This window comes from Homo sapiens, chromosome 12, assembly GCF_000001405.40.
Source record: "Homo sapiens chromosome 12, GRCh38.p14 Primary Assembly".
Taxonomy (NCBI): domain Eukaryota; kingdom Metazoa; phylum Chordata; class Mammalia; order Primates; family Hominidae; genus Homo; species Homo sapiens.
The window spans coordinates 90,917,798-90,939,385 of record NC_000012.12 but is presented as its reverse complement, the minus strand read 5'-3'; the positions used below and the strand labels follow the sequence as shown (position 1 = coordinate 90,939,385).

General features: G+C 37.7%; 1 long non-coding RNA gene across 1 annotated transcript in view, besides 1 other annotated feature; it reads right to left on the bottom strand.

Annotated features, from left to right (window-relative positions):
* Window positions 1–21,363, bottom strand: part of LINC00615 (long intergenic non-protein coding RNA 615) — a 30,647-nt gene extending 9,284 nt beyond the window's left edge. Inside the window, exons 1-2 of the long non-coding RNA NR_038868.1 lie at window positions 21,336–21,363; window positions 633–715 (exon numbers count right to left, since the gene is read on the bottom strand). This is a non-coding gene — a long non-coding RNA (long intergenic non-protein coding RNA 615). The remainder of the gene's footprint in view (window positions 1–632; window positions 716–21,335) is intronic.
* Window positions 15,760–16,054: a silencer, noted in NCBI's record as "tiled region #14687; HepG2 Repressive non-DNase unmatched - State 24:Quies". NCBI's record gives its function as "represses a minimal TATA promoter and a strong SV40 promoter by Sharpr-MPRA in HepG2 cells {active_cell/tissue: HepG2}" and the evidence as "EXISTENCE:reporter gene assay evidence [ECO:0000049][PMID:27701403]".
* Window positions 21,364–21,588: the final 225 nt, after the last annotated feature.

The following is a 21,588-nucleotide window of genomic DNA, read 5'->3' as shown; positions in this document are numbered from 1 at the left end:
CAAAATGTCAATGCAAGCCTCTTTGTACAAAAAGTAGGCCAAAAAAAAAAAAAAAAAATTCACTTTCCTCCTGTGATTTATCTCTAAACCAGTTATGTGGCATTTTTGTTCTTTTGTTTTGTTATTTAATCTCATGCTCTTTGGGGCATGGAAATACATGCGAGGCAAGTGCAAACCCTCACAGGTACCTGGGTCCTGCCCACAACTCAAACTGTGGGGCTCATACACCTGATCTTGTCCCTTCCCAGACCCATGCTTAGGCCTCCACCATGGGTAGCAGTGGTCACTGGGCAGGTGAGGGGGAGCAGATAGCTGTGATTCTGTCCTGAGAAGGTGAGGAGGTGGGAAAGCAGTGGAAAGGCAGTACCACAGGTGAGCCAAGATTCCAAGCTCTGGCACATCCACTAATATTCCATCAGATTCCATTTACAGAACACAAATTCCAAGATAATCTTGTTAAGAATTTCAAGATATGTCCACAGAGCATTAAGCCCCAAAAGCAGGGTCCCTTTTTTAGAGTGAGGCTCTATTTCAGGGCACTGAGAGCAGTCAAGAAATTGTGCCTGCCGCCTCCACAATAAATGGCTTTCCCCACATTCTCAACCATTTTACAGATCAGATCTCTGTCTTACTGAAATCTGGTGCTCCTCAGAGGTATTTGGTTCCTAGGAATCTGCCGGAGCGTGCATTGCTTCTTCTCTCATGCTCATGGGAACTGGAGGAAAGGGAAGCAGGAAGAATTTTCAACTTCACAATGCTGACTCACTTATAAAGCATTACTCTTTCGACCTAATGTCAACGAGGTGCATATCCTGACTTGTGGTTCCACTACACTCTACGACTTTTCATCAGTCAGCCTCCTGTATTCTATTCCCCCTTTCACTGATTATTTCTTTGCCTCTAGAGTACAATCTTCTTCTCACCCTCAAACCTTGCCATCCTCCAGCTATGTTGAAAATCCATGCAACAATCTCTGTCATGGGCCTTTGACCGCAGCCCCATTGCTCTTCAACTCCACTTTAATAACTTAATTTTGAAGTTATATCTTGCACCTTGACATAGCCAAGAGGCACTAGAACTAGGAAATCTTACATTTTAACCTCCTGTTCTTTGACAATTTTCCCCTGTTGTGTTCTCTAACCCTTTACTGTCCTAAAGACTGACACAACATTTTAGGGGAGAGAAAAAGATTATTTGGATGCAATAGAGATAGGATTTTATTTTCTCTCAAGGATTTTAAATCATCACATATCAAATGCCCAATGTCATATGTTTTGTATCTTTGTAGTAGATTTCATGTATGTTTGATAGTATTATCACATTTCCAACAATTTTATATGCATACTACTGACACACACACATGCACACACACTTTGATTCTGGAAATTTAAGGTGAAGGAGCACAGGCTTTCTTTCCACTCTCCATCCTGCTAACTCTCCAGATAAGTTAATTACAAATTTTCTTTGAAATTGAAATTGTTAAGAGTCTCAGACCCTCCAGAACTCATTTTTATTTCACTCTGCCAAATTTTTCTGGCTTCACTGTAATCAGTAATGTATACATTTCACAATCTTACTCGAATTGCTTTCTTAAAAATATATTATCTCTTGTCTTTCAAAATATCTTATCTCTTCTCTTTCCATTGAACTGGCCCAGGAAACCATAAACTCGAAGTCAATAATAATGACAAAAAATAGTACCAAACATTGCATGTTTCATGTGTTTTATCTTGGTTTTATCTGATTTAATCTTCACAGTGATCTTATGAGGTGAATGCAGTTATCCCCAATTTACATATAAGGTAATTGTGCATTAACAAATTTCAATGACTTGTTTGTGTTACTTTTGAAGTTAGGATTTGTGACTCTCAAACTTTAGTATGTGAAAATACCATCTAAGAATTTAAAAGTGATCTAGAAGTGATCATGGCAGACAGGAGGAAGGACTAGATTATAGCTCAGGACAGAGCAGCTTGTGGAAACTCACTTTATGAATTTTAGCTCCAGATCAACTGTGAGAACAAACCAGCAATCCCGAGAGGACCCACAGACCCTCTGAATGAAGCAGACTGCTCCTGCAGGACCTGTGAAACACCCCGAATATTGTGAAGGCCCCAACTGCAGAACTGCGAAAGGGAGACCCTTCTCTCCCAAACACACACCCCCACTGGAGAAGCTGAAGGTCCATTTGCAGGACAAGTTTCTGACTTTACCTGCAGCTGAGTCAATTTAGAGAGCTGAGTGAAATACAGGGGTAGAAGAAGCAGCAGAAAGGCCCTGGGAGCTTGCTGCATCCCCTAGCAGGCCATTCCTGCCTGGCACTGCAGGGATCCATAGGGAGGGTGACCAGAGGAGCAGGGGGTAAAACTCCACAGAGAGAAAGAATTCTCTAGCTGAAATTTGTAACAATTTGAACAGGGTGAGAAGCCTTCTGGCCAGAACTTGGGGGAGGGCACATATCTGGTGTGCAGACTCCACAGGCATGGGAAGAACCAAGCCCTTTTCTTTCACAGCTGGGAGGCAGGTAGCCTCAGGCAAGTTTTCAAGCCCAACTTGCTCTCCGCCTGGAAACAGACTTGGGTCCATTGTGCGGGGGCACGGTGGGAGTGAGAGAGGCCCTTTGGTTTGTGTGGGAGCTGGGTAAGGCCTGCAACTGCTGGCTTTTCCCCACTTCCTGGAAAACCTGCATGACTCAGCAGAGGCTGCCATAATCCTTCTAGGTACACAACTTCAGTGACCTGGGAATCTCACCCCCTTCCCCAACAGCAGCTGCAGCAAGAGCCACCCAAGGAAAGTCTGAGCTCAGACACACCTAGCCCTGCCCCTACCTGATGGTCCTTCCCTATCCACCTTAGTAGCAGAAGAAAAAGAGCATATAATCTCAGGAGTTATAGGGCCCCGCCCACTGCTGGTACCTCTCCACATTACTACAGCTGATGCTTTCTGGAAAGCGCCACCCCCTGGCAGGAGGCCAAGCAACACAAAAAAAGAGAATTCAACCACCAAACCTAAGAACACTCAGAGTTCATTGCACCCCACCACCACCTCCACTGGAGCAGGCACTGGTATCCACAGCTGAGAGACCCATAGATGGTTCACATCACAGAACTCTGCAGACAGCCCCCAGTACCAGCCCAGAGCCAGGATCTCTGGGTGGCTAGACCCAGAAAAGACACAACAATCACTGTAGTTTGGCTCACAGGAGGTCACATCCACAGGATAAAGGGGAGAGTACTACATCAAGGGAACACCCCATGGGACAAAAGAATCTGAACAACAGCCTTCAGCCCTAGACCTTCCCTCCAACAGAGCCTACCCAAATGAAAAGGAACCAGAAAACCAAGCCTGGTAATATGACAAAACAAAGCTTCTTGACACCCCCCAAAAATCACACTAGTTCACCAGCAATGGATCCAAACCAAGAAGAAATCCCTGATTTACCTGAAAAAGAATTCAGGAGGTTAGTTATTAAGCTCATCAGGGAAGGATGAGAGAAAGATAAAGCCCAAAGCAAGGAAATAAAAAAAAAAAATGATATAAGAAGTGAAGGGAGAGATATTCAAGGAAATAGATAGCTTAAAGAAAAAACAATTAAAAATACAGGAAACTTTGGACACACTCTTAGAAATGTGAAATGCTCTGGAAAGTCTCAGCAATAGAATTGAACAAGTAGAGGAAAGAAATTCAGAGCTCGAAGACGAAGTATTCAAATTAACCCAATCCAACAAAGACAAAGAAAAAATAATGAGAAAATATGAACAAAGTCTCCAATAAGTCTTGGATTATGTTAAACAACCAAACTTAAGAATAATCAGTGTTCCTGAGGAAGAAGATAATTCTAAAAGCTTGGGAAACATATTCAGGGGAATAATCGAGGAAAACTTCCATGACCTTGCTAGAGGCCTAGACATCCAAATACAAGAAGCACAAAGAAGACCTGAAAAATTCATTGCAGAAAGATCTTTGCCTAGGCACATTGTCATCAGCTTAAGAGCTTAATCTGATGTTATCAGCTTAAGAGCTTAATCTGATGTTATCAGCTTAAGAGCTGTCAGACGGAAGCACCAGGTAACCTATAAAGAAAAACCTATCAGATTAACAGCAGATTTCTCAGGAGAAACTCTACAAGCTAGAAGAGATTCGGGGCCCTATCTTCAGCCTCCAAACAATTAGCCAAGAATTTTGTAACCTGCAAAACTAAGCATCATATAAGAAAGAAACATGCAGTTGCTTTCAGACAAACAAATGCTGAGAGAATTCGCCATTACCAAGCCACCACTATGAGAACTGCCAAAAGGAACTCTAAATCTTGAAACAAATCCTGGAAACACATCAAAACAGAACCTCTTTGAAGCATAAATCACACAGGACATATAAAACAAAAATAAATATTAAAAAGCAAAAACATAAAACAAAAATCCCAAAGTACACAGGCAACAAAAAGCACAATGAATGCAATGGTACCTCGTATTTCAATACTAATATTGAATGTAAATGATCTAAATGCTTCAGTTAAAAGATACAGAACTGCAGAATGGATAAGAACTCACCCACCAACTATCTGTTGCCTTCAGGAGACTCACCTAACACATAAGGACTCACATAAAGTAAAGGGGAGGAAAAAGGCATTTCATGCAAATGGGTGCCAAAAATTAGCAGGGGTAGCTGTTTTTATATCAGACAAAACAAATTTTAAAGCAACAGCAATTAAAAGAGACAGAGGGGCATTATATAATGGTAAAAGCCCTTGTCCAATAGAAAAATATCACAACCCTAAACATATGCACACCTAACACTGGAGTTCCCAAATTTATAAAACAATTAGTGGTAAATCTAAGAAATGAGATAGGCAGCAACACAACAATAGTGGGGGACTTCAGTACTCCAATGACAACACTAGACAGGTCATCAAGACAGAAAGTCAACAAAGAAACAATGGATTTAAACTATACCTTGGAACAAATGGACTTAACGGATACATACAGAACATTTCATCCAACAACTGCAGAGTACACGCTCTGTTCAACAGCACATGGAACTTTCTCCAAGATAGACAATATGATAGGCCATAAAATGAGCCTCAATAAATTTAAGAAAATTGAAATTATATCAGCACTCTCTCAGACCACAGTGGAATAAGGCTGGAAATCAACTCAAAAAGGAACCTTCAGAAACAATGCAAATACATGGAAATTAAATAACTTGTTCCCAAATGAGCATTAGGTCAAAAACGAAATAAAGATAACAAAAAATTCTTCAAACTGAATGACAGCAATGACACAACCTATCAAAACCTCTGGGATACAGCAAAGTCAGTGCTAAGAGGAAAGTTTCATAGCCCTAAGTGCCTACATCAAAAAGACTTAAAGGGCATAAACTGACATTCTAAGGTCACACCTCAAGGAATTAGAAAAACAAGAACAAACCAATCTCCAACCCAGCAGAAGAAAGGAAATTACCAAGATCAGAGCAGAACTCAATGAAATTGAAACAGCAACAGCAATGAAAATACAAAAAGATAAATGAAAAGATAAATAAAATTGATAGACCATTGTAAGATTAACCGAGAAAAGAGGAGAGAAAATCCAAATAACCTCACTAAGAAACAAAACAGGAGATATTGCAACTGACACCACTGAAATAGAAAAGATCACTCAATGTTACTATAAACACCTTTATGCACATAAACTAGAAAATCTAGAAGGGATGAATAGATTCCTGGAAAAATATAACCTCCTAGCTTAAATCAGAAAGAATTAGATACCCTCAACAGGTCAATAATAAGCAGCGAGATTGAAATGGTAATTTTTAAAATTACCAACAAAATAAAGTCCAGAACCAGATGGATTCACAGCAGAATTCTAGTAGACATTCAAAGAAAAATTTGTAGCAATCCTTTTGACAGTATTCCACAGGATAGAGAAAGAAGAAACCTGCCTTAATTCATTGTGTGAAGCCAGCATCACCCTAATACTAAAACCAGGAAAGGACATAACCAAAAAATAAAACTACAGACCGATATCCTTGATGAACATTGATGCTAAAATCCTTAACAAAATACTAGCTAACCAAATCCAACAATATGTCAAAAATATAATCCACCATAATCCAATGAGTTTCATACCAGGGATGCAGGGATGGTTTAACATATGCAAGTCAATAAATGTGATATACCACATAAAGAGAATTAAAAACAAAAATCACATAATCATCTCAATAGATGCAGAAAAAGCATTCTAAAAGCACAGCATCCCTTTATGATTAAAACTCTTAGCAAAATCGACAAACAAGGGACATACCTTAATATAATAAAAACCATCTGTGACAAACCCATAGTCAACACAATACTGAATGGGGAAAACTTGAAAGCATTCTCTCTGAGAACTGGAACAAGACAAGGGTGCCCACTCTCACTACTCCTCTTCAACATACTACTGGAAGTCCTAGCCAGAGCAATCAGACAAGAGAAAGAAATAAAAGGCATCCAAATCAGCAACGAGGAAGTCAAACTATCACTGTTTGCTGATGATATGATCATTTACCTTGAAAACCCTAAGGACTCCTCCAGAAAGCTCCTAGAACTGAAAAAAGAATTCAGCAAAGTTTCTGGATACAAGATTAATGTACACAAACTAGTAGCTCTTCTATACACCAACAGTGACCAAAAAGAGAATCAAATCAAGAACTCAACCCCTTTTACAATAGCTGCAGAAAAAATAAAATATTTAGGAATATGCCTAATGAAGGAGTTGAAAGACCTCTACAAGGAAAACTACAAAACACTGCTGAAAGAAATCATAGACAACACAAACAAATGTAAACACATCCCATGCTCATAGATGGATAGAATCAATACTGTGAAAATGACCATACTGCCAAAAGCAATCTACAAATTCACTGCAATCCCCATCAAAATATCACCATTATTCTTCATAGAACTAGAAAAAAACAATTCTAAAATTCATATGGAACCAAAAAAGAGCCTATATAGCCAAAGTAAGAGTAAGCAAACAGAACAAATCTGGAGGCATCACACTACTTGATTTCAAAATATACTGTAAGGCCATAGTAATCAAATCAGCATGGTACTGGTATAAAAATAGGCATATAGACCAATGGAACAGAATAGAGAACCCAGAAGTAAACCCCCATACTTACAGCCAACTGATCTTTGACAAAGCAAACAAAAGCGTAGAGTGGGGAAAGGACACCCTTTTCAGCAAATGGTGCTGGGATGGTAGGCTAGCCACATGTAGGAGAATTAAACTGGATCCTCATCTCTCACCTTATACAAAAATCAACTCAAGATGGATTAAGGTGTTACACCTAAGACCTGAAACTATAAAAATTCTGAAAGATAACATTGGGAAAAATCTTTTAGACATTGACTTAGGCAAGGAATTCATGACCAAGAACCCAAAAGGAAATGCAATAAAAACAAAGATAAATAGCTGGGACCTAATTAAACTAAAGAGCTTTTGCACGGCAAAATGAACAGTCAGCAGAGTAAACAGAAAACCCACAGAGAGGGAGAAAATCTTCACAATCTATACATCTGACAAAGGACTAATGTCCAGAATCTACAGTGAACTCAAACAAATCAGTAAGAAAAAAACAAACAATCCCATCAAAAAGTGGTCTAAAGATGTGAACAGACAATTCTCAAAAGAAGATATACAAATGACAAACATATGAAAAAATGCTCAATATCACTAATGATCAAGGAAATTCAAATCAAAATCATAATGAGATACCACCTTACCCCTGCAAGAATGGCCATAATCAAAAAATCAAAAAACAGTAGATGTTGGCATGGATGCGGTGAACAGGGAACACTTCTACACTGCTGATGGGAATGTAAACTAGTACAGCCACTGTGTAAAACAGTGGAGATTCCTTAAAGAACTAAAAGTAGAACTACCATTTGATCCAGCAATCCCACTACTGCATATCTACTCAGAGGAAAATAAGTCATTATTCAAAAAGAATACTTGGACATGGATGTTTACAGGGGCACAATTCAGGGATAAGACACTACAAATATGGTTCATTGTATACTGCTCTGGTAATGAGTGCACCAAAATCTCACAAATAACCATTAAATAACTTATTCATGTAACTAAATACCACCTGTACCCCAATAAATTATGGAAAAATAATAAATATATGATATTATATTATAAAAAGAAAATACCATCTAAAATCTTTCTTTTTTAAAAATACTTAAGTTCTGGGATATATATGCAGAACATGCAGGTTTGTTACATAGGTATACAAGTGCCATGGTGGTTTTCTGCACCCATCAACCCATCATCTACATTAGGTATTTCTCCTAATGCTATCCCTCCCCTAGCCCCATACCCCCCAACAGGCCCCAGTGTGTGATGTTCCCCTCCCTGGGTCCATGCATTCTAATTGTTCAACTCCTATTTATGAGTGAGAACATGGGATGTTTGGTTTTCTGTTCCTGTGTTAGTTTGCTGAGAATGATGGTTTCCAGCTTCATTCATGTCCCTGCAAAGGACAGGAATTCATCCTTTTTTATGGCTGCATATTATTCCATAGTGTATATGGCCACATTTTCTTTATCCAGTCTATCATTGATGGGCATTTCGGTTGGTTCCAAATCTTTGCTATTGTGAATAGTGCTGCAATAAACATGTGTGTGCATGTGTCTTTATAGTAGAATGATTTATAATCCTTTGGATATATACCCAGTAGTTGGATTGCTGGGTCAAATGGTATTTCTGGTTCTAGATCCTTGAGGAATTGCCACACTGTCTTCCACAATGGTTGAACTAATTCATACTCCCACCAACAGTGTAAACGTTTTCTATTTCTCCACAACCTCTCCAGCATCTATTGTTTCCTAACTTTTTAATGATCACCATTCTAACTGGCATGAGATGGAATCTCACTGTGGTTTTGGTTTGCATTTCTCTAATGACCAGTGATAATGTGCCTTTTTTCATATGTTTGTTGGCTGCATAAATGTCTTCTTTTGAGAAGTGTCTATTCATATCCTGTTGTGGGAAGTCAGGGAACCCAAACGGAGGGACCAGCTGGAGCCACAGCAGAGGAACATAAATTGTGAAGATTTCATATTAATATGGATATTTATCATCCCCAAATAATACTTTTATAATTACTTATGCCTGACTTTACTTTAATCTCTTAATCCTGTTATCTCCATAAACTGATGTATGTCACCTCAGGACCACTGTGATAATTGTGTTAATTGTACAAAGTGATTGTAAAACATGTGTGTTTGAACAATATGAAATCAGTGCACCTTGAAAAAGAACAGAATAAGAGCGATTTTTATGGAACAAGGGAAGACAACCATAACATCTGTTTGCTTGCAGGGTTGGGCAAAAAGAGCCATATTTTTCTTCTTGCAGAGAGCTTATAAATGGACGTGCAAGTAGGAAAGATATCACTAAATTCTTTTCCTAGCAAGGAATATTAAGATTAATATCCTGGGAAAGGAATGCTTTCCTAGGGGGAGGTCTATAAACGGCCACTCTGGGAATGTATGTCTTATGCAGTTGAGATAAGGACTGAGATATGCCCTGGTCTCCTGCAGAACCCTCAGGCTTACTAGGGTGGGGAAAAACTCCACCCTGGTAAATTTGTGGTCAAGACTGGTTCTCTGCTCTCAAACTCTGCTCTCTGTTGTCTAAGATGTTTATCAAGACAATACATGCACCGCTGTATATAGACCCTTATCAGTGGTTCTGCTTTTGCCCTTTGTCCTGTTCCCTCAGAAGCATGTGATCTTTGTTAGACCCTTATTAGTGGTTCTGCTTTTTGCTCTTTGAAGCATGTGATCTTTGTACCTACTCTCTGTTCTTACACCCCCTCCCCTTTTGAAACCCTTAATAAAAACTTGCTGGTCTGAGACTCAGGTGGGCATCACAGTCCTATCGATATGTGATGTCACCCCTGGCTGCCCAGCTGTAAAATTCCTCTATTTGTACTGTCTCTCTTTATTTCTCAGCTAGCCAACACTTATGGAAAATAGAAAGAACCTATGTTGAAATATTGGGGGCATGTTCCTCCAATAATATCCTTCACCCACTTTTTGATGGGGTCATTTGTTTTTTCTTGTAAATTTGTTTAAGTTCCTTGTAGATTCTGGATATCCACTCTGATGATAGTTTGTTTTGCTGTGCACAAGCTCTTTAGTTTAATTAGATCCCATTTGTCAATTTTGGCTTTCGTTGCCATTGCTTTTGGTGTTTTAGTCATGAAGTCTTTCCCTATGCCCATGTCCTGAATGGTATTATTGCCCAGGTTTTCTTCTAGGGCTTTTATGGTTTTAGGTCTTATATTTAAATCTTTAATCCATCTTGAATTAATTTTTGTATAAGGTATAAGGAAGGGGTCCAGTTTCAGTTTTCTGCATATTGCTACCCATTTTCCCAACACTATTTATTAAATAGGGAATCCTTTCTCCATTGCTTGTTTTTGTCAGCTTTGTCAAAGATCAGATGGTTGTAAATGTGTGGTGTTAATTCAACATCCCTTCATGTGATTAAAAACTCTCAATAAACTAGGTATTGAAGGAATGTATCTCAAAACAATAAGAGCTATTTATGACAAACTCACAGCAAATATGAAGGGCAAAAGCTGGAAGCATTCTGTTTGAAGGCCTTTTATGCATCTATTGAGATAATCATGTGTTTTTTGTGATTGGTTCTCTTTATGTGATGGATTATGTTTATTGATTTGCATATGTTGAACGAGCCTTGCATCCCAGGGATGAAGCCTCTGTTCTGCTCCATTGGTCTATATATCTATTTTGGTACCAGTACCATTTTGTTACTGTAGCCTTGCAGTATAGCTTGAAATCAGGTAGTGTGATGACTCCAGCTTTGTTCTTTTTGCTTAGGATTGTCTTGGCTATGCATGTGATTTTTTTGGTACCATATGAAATTTAAAGTAGTTTTTTCTAATTCGGTGAAGAAAGTCAATGGTAGCTTGATGGGGGTGGCATTGAATCTATAAATTACTTAAGGCAGTATGCCCATTTTCATGATATTGATTCTTCCTATCCATGAGCATGGAATGTTTGTCCATTTTTGTGTGTCCTTTCTTATTTCCTTAAGGAGTGGTATGCAGTTCTCCTTGAAGAGGTCCTACACTTTCCTTGTAAGTTGTATTCCTAGGTATTTTATTCTCTTTGCAACAATTGTGAATGAGAGTTCACTCATGATTTGGCTCTTTGTCTGTTATTGGTGTATAGGAATGATTGTGATTTTTGCACATTGATTTTGTATGCTGAGACTTTGCTGAAGTTGCTTATCAGCTTAAGGAGATTTTGGGCTGAGACGACGGGGTTTTCTAATTATACAATCATGTCATCTGCAAACAGAGACAATTTGACTTTCTCTCTTCCTATTTGAATACCCTTTATTTCTGGCCTGATTGCCCTGGCCAGAACTTCCAATACTATGTTGAATAGGAGTGGTGAGAAAGGGGATCCTTGTCTTGTGACAGTTTTCAAACAGAATGCTTCCAGCTTTTGCCCATACAGTATGATATTGGCTGTGAGTTTGTCATAAATAACTCTTAATGTTTTGAGATGCATTCCATCAATACCCAGTTTATTGAGAGTTTTTAGCATGAAGGGATGTTGGAAGGCCTTTTATGCATCTATTGAGATAATCATGTGGTTTTTGTGATTGGTTCTGTTTATGTGATGGATTACGTTTATTGATTTGCATATGTCGAACCAGCCTTCCATCCCAGGGATGAAGCCAACTTGGCTGTGTGGATAAGCTTTTTGATGTGCTGCAAGATTCAGTTTGCCAGTATTTTATTGAGGATTTTTGCATCGATGTTCATTAGGGATATTGGCCTGAAATTTTTGTTTTTCTTCTTGTGTCTCTGCCAGGTTTTGGTATCAGGATGATGCTGGCTTCATAAAATGAGTTAGGGAGGATTCCCTCTTTTTCTGTTGTTTGGAATAGTTACAGAAGGAATGTTATTAGCTCCTCCTTGTAATTCTGGTAGAATTGGGCCATGAATCTGTCTGGTCCTGGGCCTGTTTTTGGTTGGGAGGCTACTAATTACTGCCTCAATTTCAGAGCTTATTATTGGTTTATTCAGGGATTCAACTTCTTCCTGGTTTAGTCTTGGGAGGGTGTATCTGTCCAGGAATTTGTCCATTTCTTCTAGATTTTCTAGTTTATTTGCATAGAAGTATTTATAGTATTCTCTGATGGTAGTTTGTATTTCTGTGGAATCAGTGGTTATATGTCCTTTATCATTTTTTATTGCATCTATTTGATTCTTCTCTCTTCTTTATTAGTCTAGCTAGCAGTCTATCTATTTTGTTAATCTTTTCAGAAAAACAGCTCCTGGGTTCATTGATTTTTTGAAGGCCTTTTCGTGTCTCTATCTCCTTCACTTCTGCTCCAATCTTAGTTATTTTTTGTGTTCTGCTAGCTTTTGAATTTGTTTGCACTTCCTTCTCTAGTTATTTAAATTTTGATGTTAGGGTGTTGATTTTGGAGCTTTTCTACTTTCTCCTGTGGGCATTTAGTGCTATAAATTTTCCTCTAAACACTGTTTTATCTGTGTCCCAGAGATTCTGGTACATTGTGTCTTTGTTCTCATTGGTTTCAAAAAACTTATTTATTTCTGCCTTAATTTCGTTATTTACCCTGTAGTCATTCAGGAGCAGGTTGTTCAGTTTCCATGTAGTTGTGCACCTTTGAGTGAGTTCTTAATCCCGAGTTCTAATTTGATTGCACTGTGGTCTAAGAGACTGTTATGATTTCTGTTCTCTTTCATTTGCTGAGGAGTGTTTTACTTCCAATTATGTGGTCAATTTTAGAATAAGTGCGATGTGGTGCTGAGAAGAATGTATATTCTGTTGATTTGGGGTGGAGAGTTCTGTAGACCAACACCATCTAAAATCTTAAGTAATATTTCTAGGTCCCACCCTCGAGATTCTGATTTTGGATGGGTGGGTGTGGTATAAGAATTTGTATGTTTAATAAACCTCCAAATGATTCTGATAGTGAGGCTCACTTGGGCCTTTCATAACGCTCCTTTTATTAGGTCTTTATTTGGACTTGCCCAGCAGAAGAAAGACTATCAAGAGGGAGTAGACAGCTTGGGGAGCCCGTATTCTTTCTTTTCAGCCCTGGCTCATTAATTTTGCCCTTTGTGAACAAATTAAGATTAGAATTATTTGTGCCAGAAACTAAGTTGACTTTGAAAACTAAGTCATACAATGAATAACAGAAAATATTAGCTCTCATGATCAATCAGTTATATGAAAAATTGTTTTACTTAAGTTATTGACTCAACTTGAAAGTAAAGCATTAGTTATTAGCAAGTCTAATAATACTGTTACTTTTTTTTTTTTTAACTGATTTTTCTGGTAGTGCTCCTCTCATGGGGGCAACAGCTGCGGGGGTTCTGTCCCTTGCAGACCCTTGACCCAGGGACCGATGAATCAAGTACACAGACACACAGATATTCTGCTTTACCAGTCCAACTGAGTGTGTCCGAGCCACTTACAGACTCCAGCAGAGTCCTGTAAACAGTTGCAACTCAGCCTTCATTGGTGAGACTTGCATTTATTTAGTAAAGATTAAAGGGTTGTGAGTAAACACCACTAGAGGGTGAAGATTAAAGGTCAGGTCCCGAGGCCTAAAGCAAACACCATTTGAGGGTAATAAACTTCTGCCGACCCCCCAAGGAGGCAGTTAAGCATCTGTGGTAGGAAGAAGGTTAGTCTTAGGCCTATATAAGAGTGCTACCACAGTTGGTGCCTGGTGTGAGGAGAGCTACCACAGATTTTGACCATTGTGGCCTTCAATAAAATTTTTTTTTGGTGGCAATATTACCAACAGAATGCTGCAATACTTCTAGTTTGAACCAGGAGCAAGTATAACACAGAGATATGCACTGGTACTCTGCATAATTATTCACATAGTGAATAAAAGTTGGATGAACAAGATTATAAATCTTGTTATAATAAAACCTTATATAAGAATCTTTTAAAAAACACATTATTTTAAATGTGTCAATAGCTGAAACAACTGAGATTTTGTTTTTAATAACTTCTGATATTTCTAGTTCATTAATAATATATGCATTGTAGACAGTATTGCCTTTGAAAGTCTTAGATACTATGTGCCTTTTAGAGACTTTCACCCTTCCATAATTCCTATACATACATTTTAACTTGATTTAATGGCATTCATATTATTCAAAAGTCCCCAGTGTATCTGAAAAACCTCTGAAATGTTATATTCCATTTTTCTCCCCCTTATGTCAGTGGTTGCTTTATTAGATGTAGACAGCTGGGATAGCATATGTTTCTTTAAAAGAAACCTTTAAAATTTAAAATTTGGAGAGCACTCTCTTAAAATCCACCAGGGTGAGTTTAATTTCTTCTGAGATATCTGAAAAGATTCAAACATCAACATGTAAGAAATCTCACTCTACACTCGAATGTACACTGCATGGGGAGTTAAGTCCGGAGATGTTTTCATTAACTTTAGATGCAATTTTATATAAATCATTTAAATTAATGGTATTGATTGCCTTATTTATAAATCAAGGTTGATTTGGTATTTTAGAGTATTGCACCTTAGAGTATTTTATTTTTAAGGTATTATTGAGGTATTCTGGTACTTTAGAGTATTTTTTTAAGACCACATGTAGTGATAAAAGAAAAAGCACAGTGAAAAATATAAGTCACAAGATAGGAGAGAAAGTCGTGTTTATTGGACATCTGCTGTATTTCAGGCACAATGCCAAGCACATCACATATCTTTTCAATTTAAGCCTCACAATCTGCTCTGTAGAATGGACATATTATCCCTATTTTAAGGAAAAGATTTTAAGGCTCTAAGAAATTAACTAATTTGCTTAAGGCTAAACAGTAAATTGTGGAGCTGTGATTAGCAAATTCTGCTGATTCCATCTTCTAAATGTGTCCAGAATCTAACTACTTCTCACCATCTTCACGATTACCACTTTGGCATAAGCTACCACCAATTCTTGCCTGAACTATTGCAGTAGTTCACTCATACTTTATTTTTGCCATCTCCCTGGAGTCTGTTCTTAACACATAAGAGGGAGCCCTCTAAAATTTGTCAGATCATTCACACCCCTCCTCAAAACTCTCAAAGGACTTCCTTCGTTCAGAATAAATAGCAAAGTCCTTAATGTGTCATAGAGTTCCTGCATTATTTAGGCTTCTGTCTCTTATTATTTCTTTGACTTTTATCTCTTATAATTCTGTTACTTTTAGGCTGTTATCCACACTGGCCAGCTGACCTCCTTGCAGTGCTTCAACCATTCTAGGCATGCTCCCTCTTGGAGTGTGTGCATGGAGCTATTCTCCCCACCAACGATGATCTTCCCCCATATGTACTCATGTATCTCCTCCTCATCTCTTTCAAATCTGCTCAAATATCACCTTCTCAATGAAGCTTTACTTAAATATTATCACACTCAGCCCTCTCCTTTTAAACTACCTCTTCTCATCTTTTTCTCCTTACAACATTTCACCATCTGCCATAGGAAAAATACAAAACAACACACTGATTAATTGATAGTTTATCCCATTCCCCACTGGTAAATAAGCATCATGAGGGTAGGTACTCTTCTGTTTTGGTGCATTGTGGTATCCACTTGGGAGTGGGCCCACAGTTGAATCTCTTCCCTGTAAATGCCCTTGGCCAAATAGGATATACCTCAGCAAGGTAAGTGCTTCCCCTGGGAGAAGCCACCATTCCATGACTGGTAGATGAGAGTATGAAGGCCAAGACTCCTTGCCACATTTAAGGACAATGTTCAAGGTGCATGGAGCTCAAGCTCATGAGCTCAGCTTAAAGGTGGAGGTCTTTTTTGCAACTGTGCTGTGATTCAGCTCTCCCTCTGCCAACATCTGCTTCTTTCACTTCCCTCCAAATGTTGTTCCTGAGAGAATTCCTCAATAAACTTCCTGCAGGCAAACCATCTCAGACTTTGTTTCCTGGGGAACCCAGTCTATACCCTTGCACCTGTAAAAAGCATGATGTGCAGTTGATGCTTCAATAAATACTTTTTGAATAAACGGGTGAATAGAGACTAAAATAGAATAGAAAAGAATGGACTAGAATAGAAAATGTTAAGAATCTGTGTTCTGGAGTCAAAAAAATCTATATTGCAATCTTCACTCTTTCTCTTAATTCCTGCGACTTAGATTAATTTGCTTAAAATTATCCATGGAAGAGGTTACAATAGTACCTTTCTCAGATTATTTTAGGATTAAAGGAGATGAAGCATATAAAGCCAGAATCATAGCGCCTGGAAATTATGTTCTTAATAGACACTATAAAAATAATTATTTTTTCTATTTATACAAGAGATATAGTCTACTCTCCCAATCAATATTTCTTTCTTTCTTGTTTCTTTCTTTCTTTAACATACAGGTTAAATTGATTAAATAAAACTATGGTAACAGATTTTTAGGTATACCAATCAACATTATCATTCTGAGAGAGTGGTTAAAAGGGCAACTAGCCCAGCTCTCTGTTTCTAGGCTAAACTTACACCATTCAAAGCTGTTTATCATCTAAATGATTCTAATTGATATGGATGCCGAAATATTTCATGATTCCCCTGAAGTTTTTGTTCCAGTATTTAATTGCTTGGTACCATCAGGAGATTCTCCTTCAAATAACTTTTAATCTATTTCTTGAATTTTAATATATTTCATACAGTTCTGGCCACTATGCTAATGTAGGACTACTGATCTTTGTCCTTTGAGCCTCAATTTAAGTACTTTAATTAATCAAAAACTTTCTTATTGAGCTTTGTGCCAAGTATTGGGCTGGGCTTGATGACAAGTTTTAATTCATGGTCTTTCTTGCTGTACTCTGCCCTGCTTGGAGTCCTGGAGTCCCTTTCATCTTTTCTAATAGTCTTATTTTCATTTTTGTTGATCTTCTTTGAATGTGCTCCAATTTGTCTACAACTTTCATAAATACTTTAGGAAAGGCTTGATTATTGCCAAATATGGAAGAAAGATTACTACTCACTCATGATAAGCTAGTCATACTGCTATTAATATATTCCAGCATAATGTTTCCTTTATAAATAATTGCTTTATGCAGCTGACTCATCTGATTTGTATTATATGATGAGTGTAAGTCATTTTTTTCTTCTGTACTTGAGCACACAAAATCTTTCCTTTCTTAAATCAATCAAATTTGTACTTTGTTCCTCACTGTAATCTTTAATTTAAATTTGTTTAATTCAGTCCTAGGTTTTTTAAAAACATATTTAAGTTGAATTATCATCCTTTTTTAAATTAGCAGTTTTTTTCCAATGCTTTTCCTCATTCAGCTCAGTTCTAGTCAATATTTATCACCTATTATCAGCCAGGCATTGTGCTAGATATTAAGTCTACAAAATTGTAAATACAGGCCTTATTAAGAAGTTCTCAATGTAGAGGTGACAGAAAAATCTGTTAAATTCCAAGTGCGAAATAGAGGAATGCAAAAATTCAGAGTACCCTTGGTCACCTTGGAAGTAGGCTTCCTGGAGGAGATTATGCTGAATTGAGCTTTAAAGATTGCATGAAAATTAAGTAATGAAAGAAAATAGGACTGCAGCATTCCAGGCAGAGGGAGCCATGCAATAAAAAATGTAGAGGCTTGTAAGAACAAATGTATCTGGAAACTGTAAACAGCTTCTTACCACTAGTGTAAAATGCAAGCTGAAAAATGGTGAAAAAGTTAAAAACATTATTTCAACCTCACTGAAGAACTAATAATAGGTTGGTGCAAAAGTAATTGCAATTTTTGCCATTCAAAGTAATGGCAGGGCTGGGCACGTTGGCTCACGCCTGTAATCCCAGCACTTTGGGAGGTGGAGGCAGGTGGATTACTTGAGGTCAGGAGTTCAATACCAGCCTGGTCAACATGCAAAAAACCCATTTCTACTAAAAAAATATACAAAAATTAGTTGGGAGTGGTGGCACGTGATTGTAGTCCCAGCTACCGGGAGGCTGAGGCACGAGAATTGCTTGAACCTGGGAGGCAAGGTTGCAGTGAACTGAGATCATGCCACTGCACCCCAGCCTGAGTGATAGAGTGAGACTCTGTCTCTAAATAAATACATACAAGCAAAGGAGAGAGGCCTCAGAGGATAGGCATAAAAACAAAACAAAAGAAAACAAAAACCAGTACTAGCAAAGACTACAATTACTTTTGCACCAACCTAATAACATGTTATCTTTGGTGTCTCATGGTTGAATTGTCTTTATTACAGTCAATACTCATTATCATATATTCCATATTTGTAAGTTCACCTACATACTAAAATTTTTTTGTAATTTCCCAATCAATACTGCCAGCACTTCTGTGGGAATTAGTGTACATGGCGCATAGTGGTGAAAAATCTGATTGCCCAACTTGCATGTTCCCATTGGACGTTAGACAAGGCAATGCTCCATCTTCTTATTGCAGCTCTGAGACTGTAAACAAGTATCCTTTGCAAGGCCTTTTTTGTGCCATAAATTTTGCATTTTTGTACTTTTTTTGGTTATTTATTTATGTATTTATTTATTTATTTGCTCAAAATGGCCCCAAAGTATAGGAAGTGCTGTTTAGCATTCGTAAGCACAAGAAGGTAGCAATGTGCTTTATGGACAAAATGCTATGTGTATGTTAGACAAGCTTCCTTTGGGCCTGAGTTAAAACACTGTTGGATGTGACTTTAATTTTAATAAATCAACAATATACATTAAATTTAGTTGCCTTTTAACAGAAACATATGTAAAACAAAGTTATGTATTGATCGGTTGCCAAAAATATTGTGACCAGAGTTTGCAGAAACCTAATTTTGTATTTCCCCTAGGAGCAATAGTTCAGCACTTGCTAATTCAGTGTTTTCAGCAATGTGATAGAATATAACTACCATGAATAAGGAGAATCAACTGCATATTGTGCAACACACCAGCTGGTAACAACAACAACAACAACAAAACAACAAGTAAAAAGGCTACACTAACAAGAACTGAGCTGCATCTCCAAACAAAAGCATTGCAGTGCCTAAACTTCTAAATTCCATCAATATGAGGGGTACCTGAAGATATTTCTTGATTTAAATGCATTGCCAATATTGCCAAACCATACTTAACTTTGACCATCAAAATCAGTGAAGTTCTGGAGTGCAAGTTATTATTTGCATTGATTCTCTGCTGACTACATACAACTCTACTAAAATAGGAATGTCTTGCATTTGCATTAATTCAATGAATTTTTATTGATGATGAACATAATGGTGGTGATGTTAACAATGAAAGACAAAAAGTTGCATGAGTGAATGTTGCATGTTCAACCAAAATAGAGCAAATGCAGCTAGGCTGGGAAATATGTGCTTTGAGGGCATGTCCAGTAAAATTAAGTAAATATAAATATGATGTTTATTGAACTGCTTCTGCATGCACGTCTCTGTGCTAGTATTAATTATGGACAACAATCTCTTCCCACAAAGAGTTTACAATATAGTGAATTTTTTATGTTAAGACAATTACTTATCAAGATGTAAATTCAAGTAGAAAACTTAAAGAGAATGAATTAAAGTACTATGAACTTTTAATGGTGACTGAAACCCTATTTGGTAGTGGGAAGAAGAATATCACAAAAAAATCTTCATATGGAGATGATATTCCACCATACTTTAGAAAGAGCATATCCAAAGTCAGGAAAACCCAAGGCATTAAATTCAGTGAAGAAAGCACCCAGTTTGGCTTTATTATAAACTTTTTAAAGGCAAGAAGAAGCAGGAATTGTGACTAGAAAAGCAGGTTGCACTTTTAAATGCAATTGGAGGTTCTTGAGCAGGGGACTAATTATGAGGAGAACTTCAGGAAGTTTCATCTTATTAGGTAGTGTGCAGGAAGAAGCATATCCAACAGGTAAATGGTTCTGGATGTAGTTCCTAGGAGAGATTTTGTGGCCTATATAATGGTGGTGGATTTAAAAATGAAAAAGAGGACAGGTGTGAAGCTTTGCAGAGGTTGCATACATAGTCAGCTAGACCTTCCAGTCTGAGTTACTAGAAGAATGGATGCACCATTCATGGTCATAGGAACTTCAGAAGCAACTGACTGAGTTTCATGTTATACAAATTAAGTTTCAAGGGACAAGAGACATTAAAGTGAAAACATTTAAATGGAGAGTTGGTAAATATGTATCATGAGAGTGGTTGGAATGGGATTATTTTGAAGACATCTTCTTAAAAATAATACTAAATCCTAAAAAATGAAAGCAACTGAACTGTATGTTATATATGTAGATATACATATATAAAATAGATAGTTTATACATGTTAGTATATATGTTCAAATGTGCTCTTTCATTGGATTCTCAGTGCGATACTGTGGGTCAGGAGCCACAGAATTTAAAAGAAGACAAGAACTATTTTACTCAGAAGTTGGAAAAGAAAGAATAATAATGAAGTATGTACTCTCTCCCTCTAAGAAATATGAATGTGAAGGATGAAAATGGGCCAGGAGGGTGGTGGAAATGGCTATTAAATTCGAAAGAATATTTTCCTGAATTTGCCTAAATTCAGGTGTCTATTAATTTTTACCTGGATTGATAGTATAGGATTCTAACTGGCTTTCCTGTTTTCCAGCTCACTGATGCTCCATTCAGAGGCCAGTCTGATCTTTTATAACTTTAGATATAACCTTTTTCCCTTCTGTTTAAACACGTCTGTTGGTCCATCCTTTCTTATAAAAATATTTAAAGTCTCATCTAATTTCATTCTCACCAACTTGGACTCCAAACTCACTTCAGAGCACTTGGCATTTCCCAGGCTTACCAAAGTATGTTTAGACCTGTGGAAATTTTCTGCTGTCTGTCCAAGAGCCTACCCCCTACCAAACACTCCTAACAAAATCTTACTGAAATCTACAACTTCCAGATCAAATGCTACTCCCTGAGAACCTTTGCTCATCTCCATCCTCTAAGTAGATATTCAGTCCTGTGTTGCCCAAGTAGCCAGCCCAGGAAGATGTTGGATTAATAATATAGTTGAATATTGGTGTTCATGGGAGCCTATCAAGTCTGATTCTTTTGCCTAACATGAATGAGATAACTGTTTCCATTTGTTTGTTTTTAGCAAAAGTATTAGCGTTAGAGTAGGCAGATAGATATACGTGAGCAGGAGAGGAAGCCCTGAGAAAAGAAGGTCTGGGAAGCCTCACTCACTCCCAGGGACCACCCAAAATCTGCATGTTAATAGTATCTCTAATGATGAAGTGGGCGGGCAATTAGTCAAGTGTAAGCAAGGAAAAGAGAAAATACCTATGCAAAAAGGAACGCCTCTTAAGATGCCCAGTAACGGCTCACTCTGCAGTCAAACCGTCAAACTGTAGCTAGCTACATACTGATATGGAGGAGAAAGGGCAAAGGAGAATTTCCTAAGAAATGCACATGTGCAACAAGTATAGATTTAACAGCTATATAACCTTCCTTGGGTAGCAGTAATTAGCAAGGCAACCATCACCTAAAATTTGTAGTCAACACAAGCTGAAGCATGCTCATTAATCAATAGTAA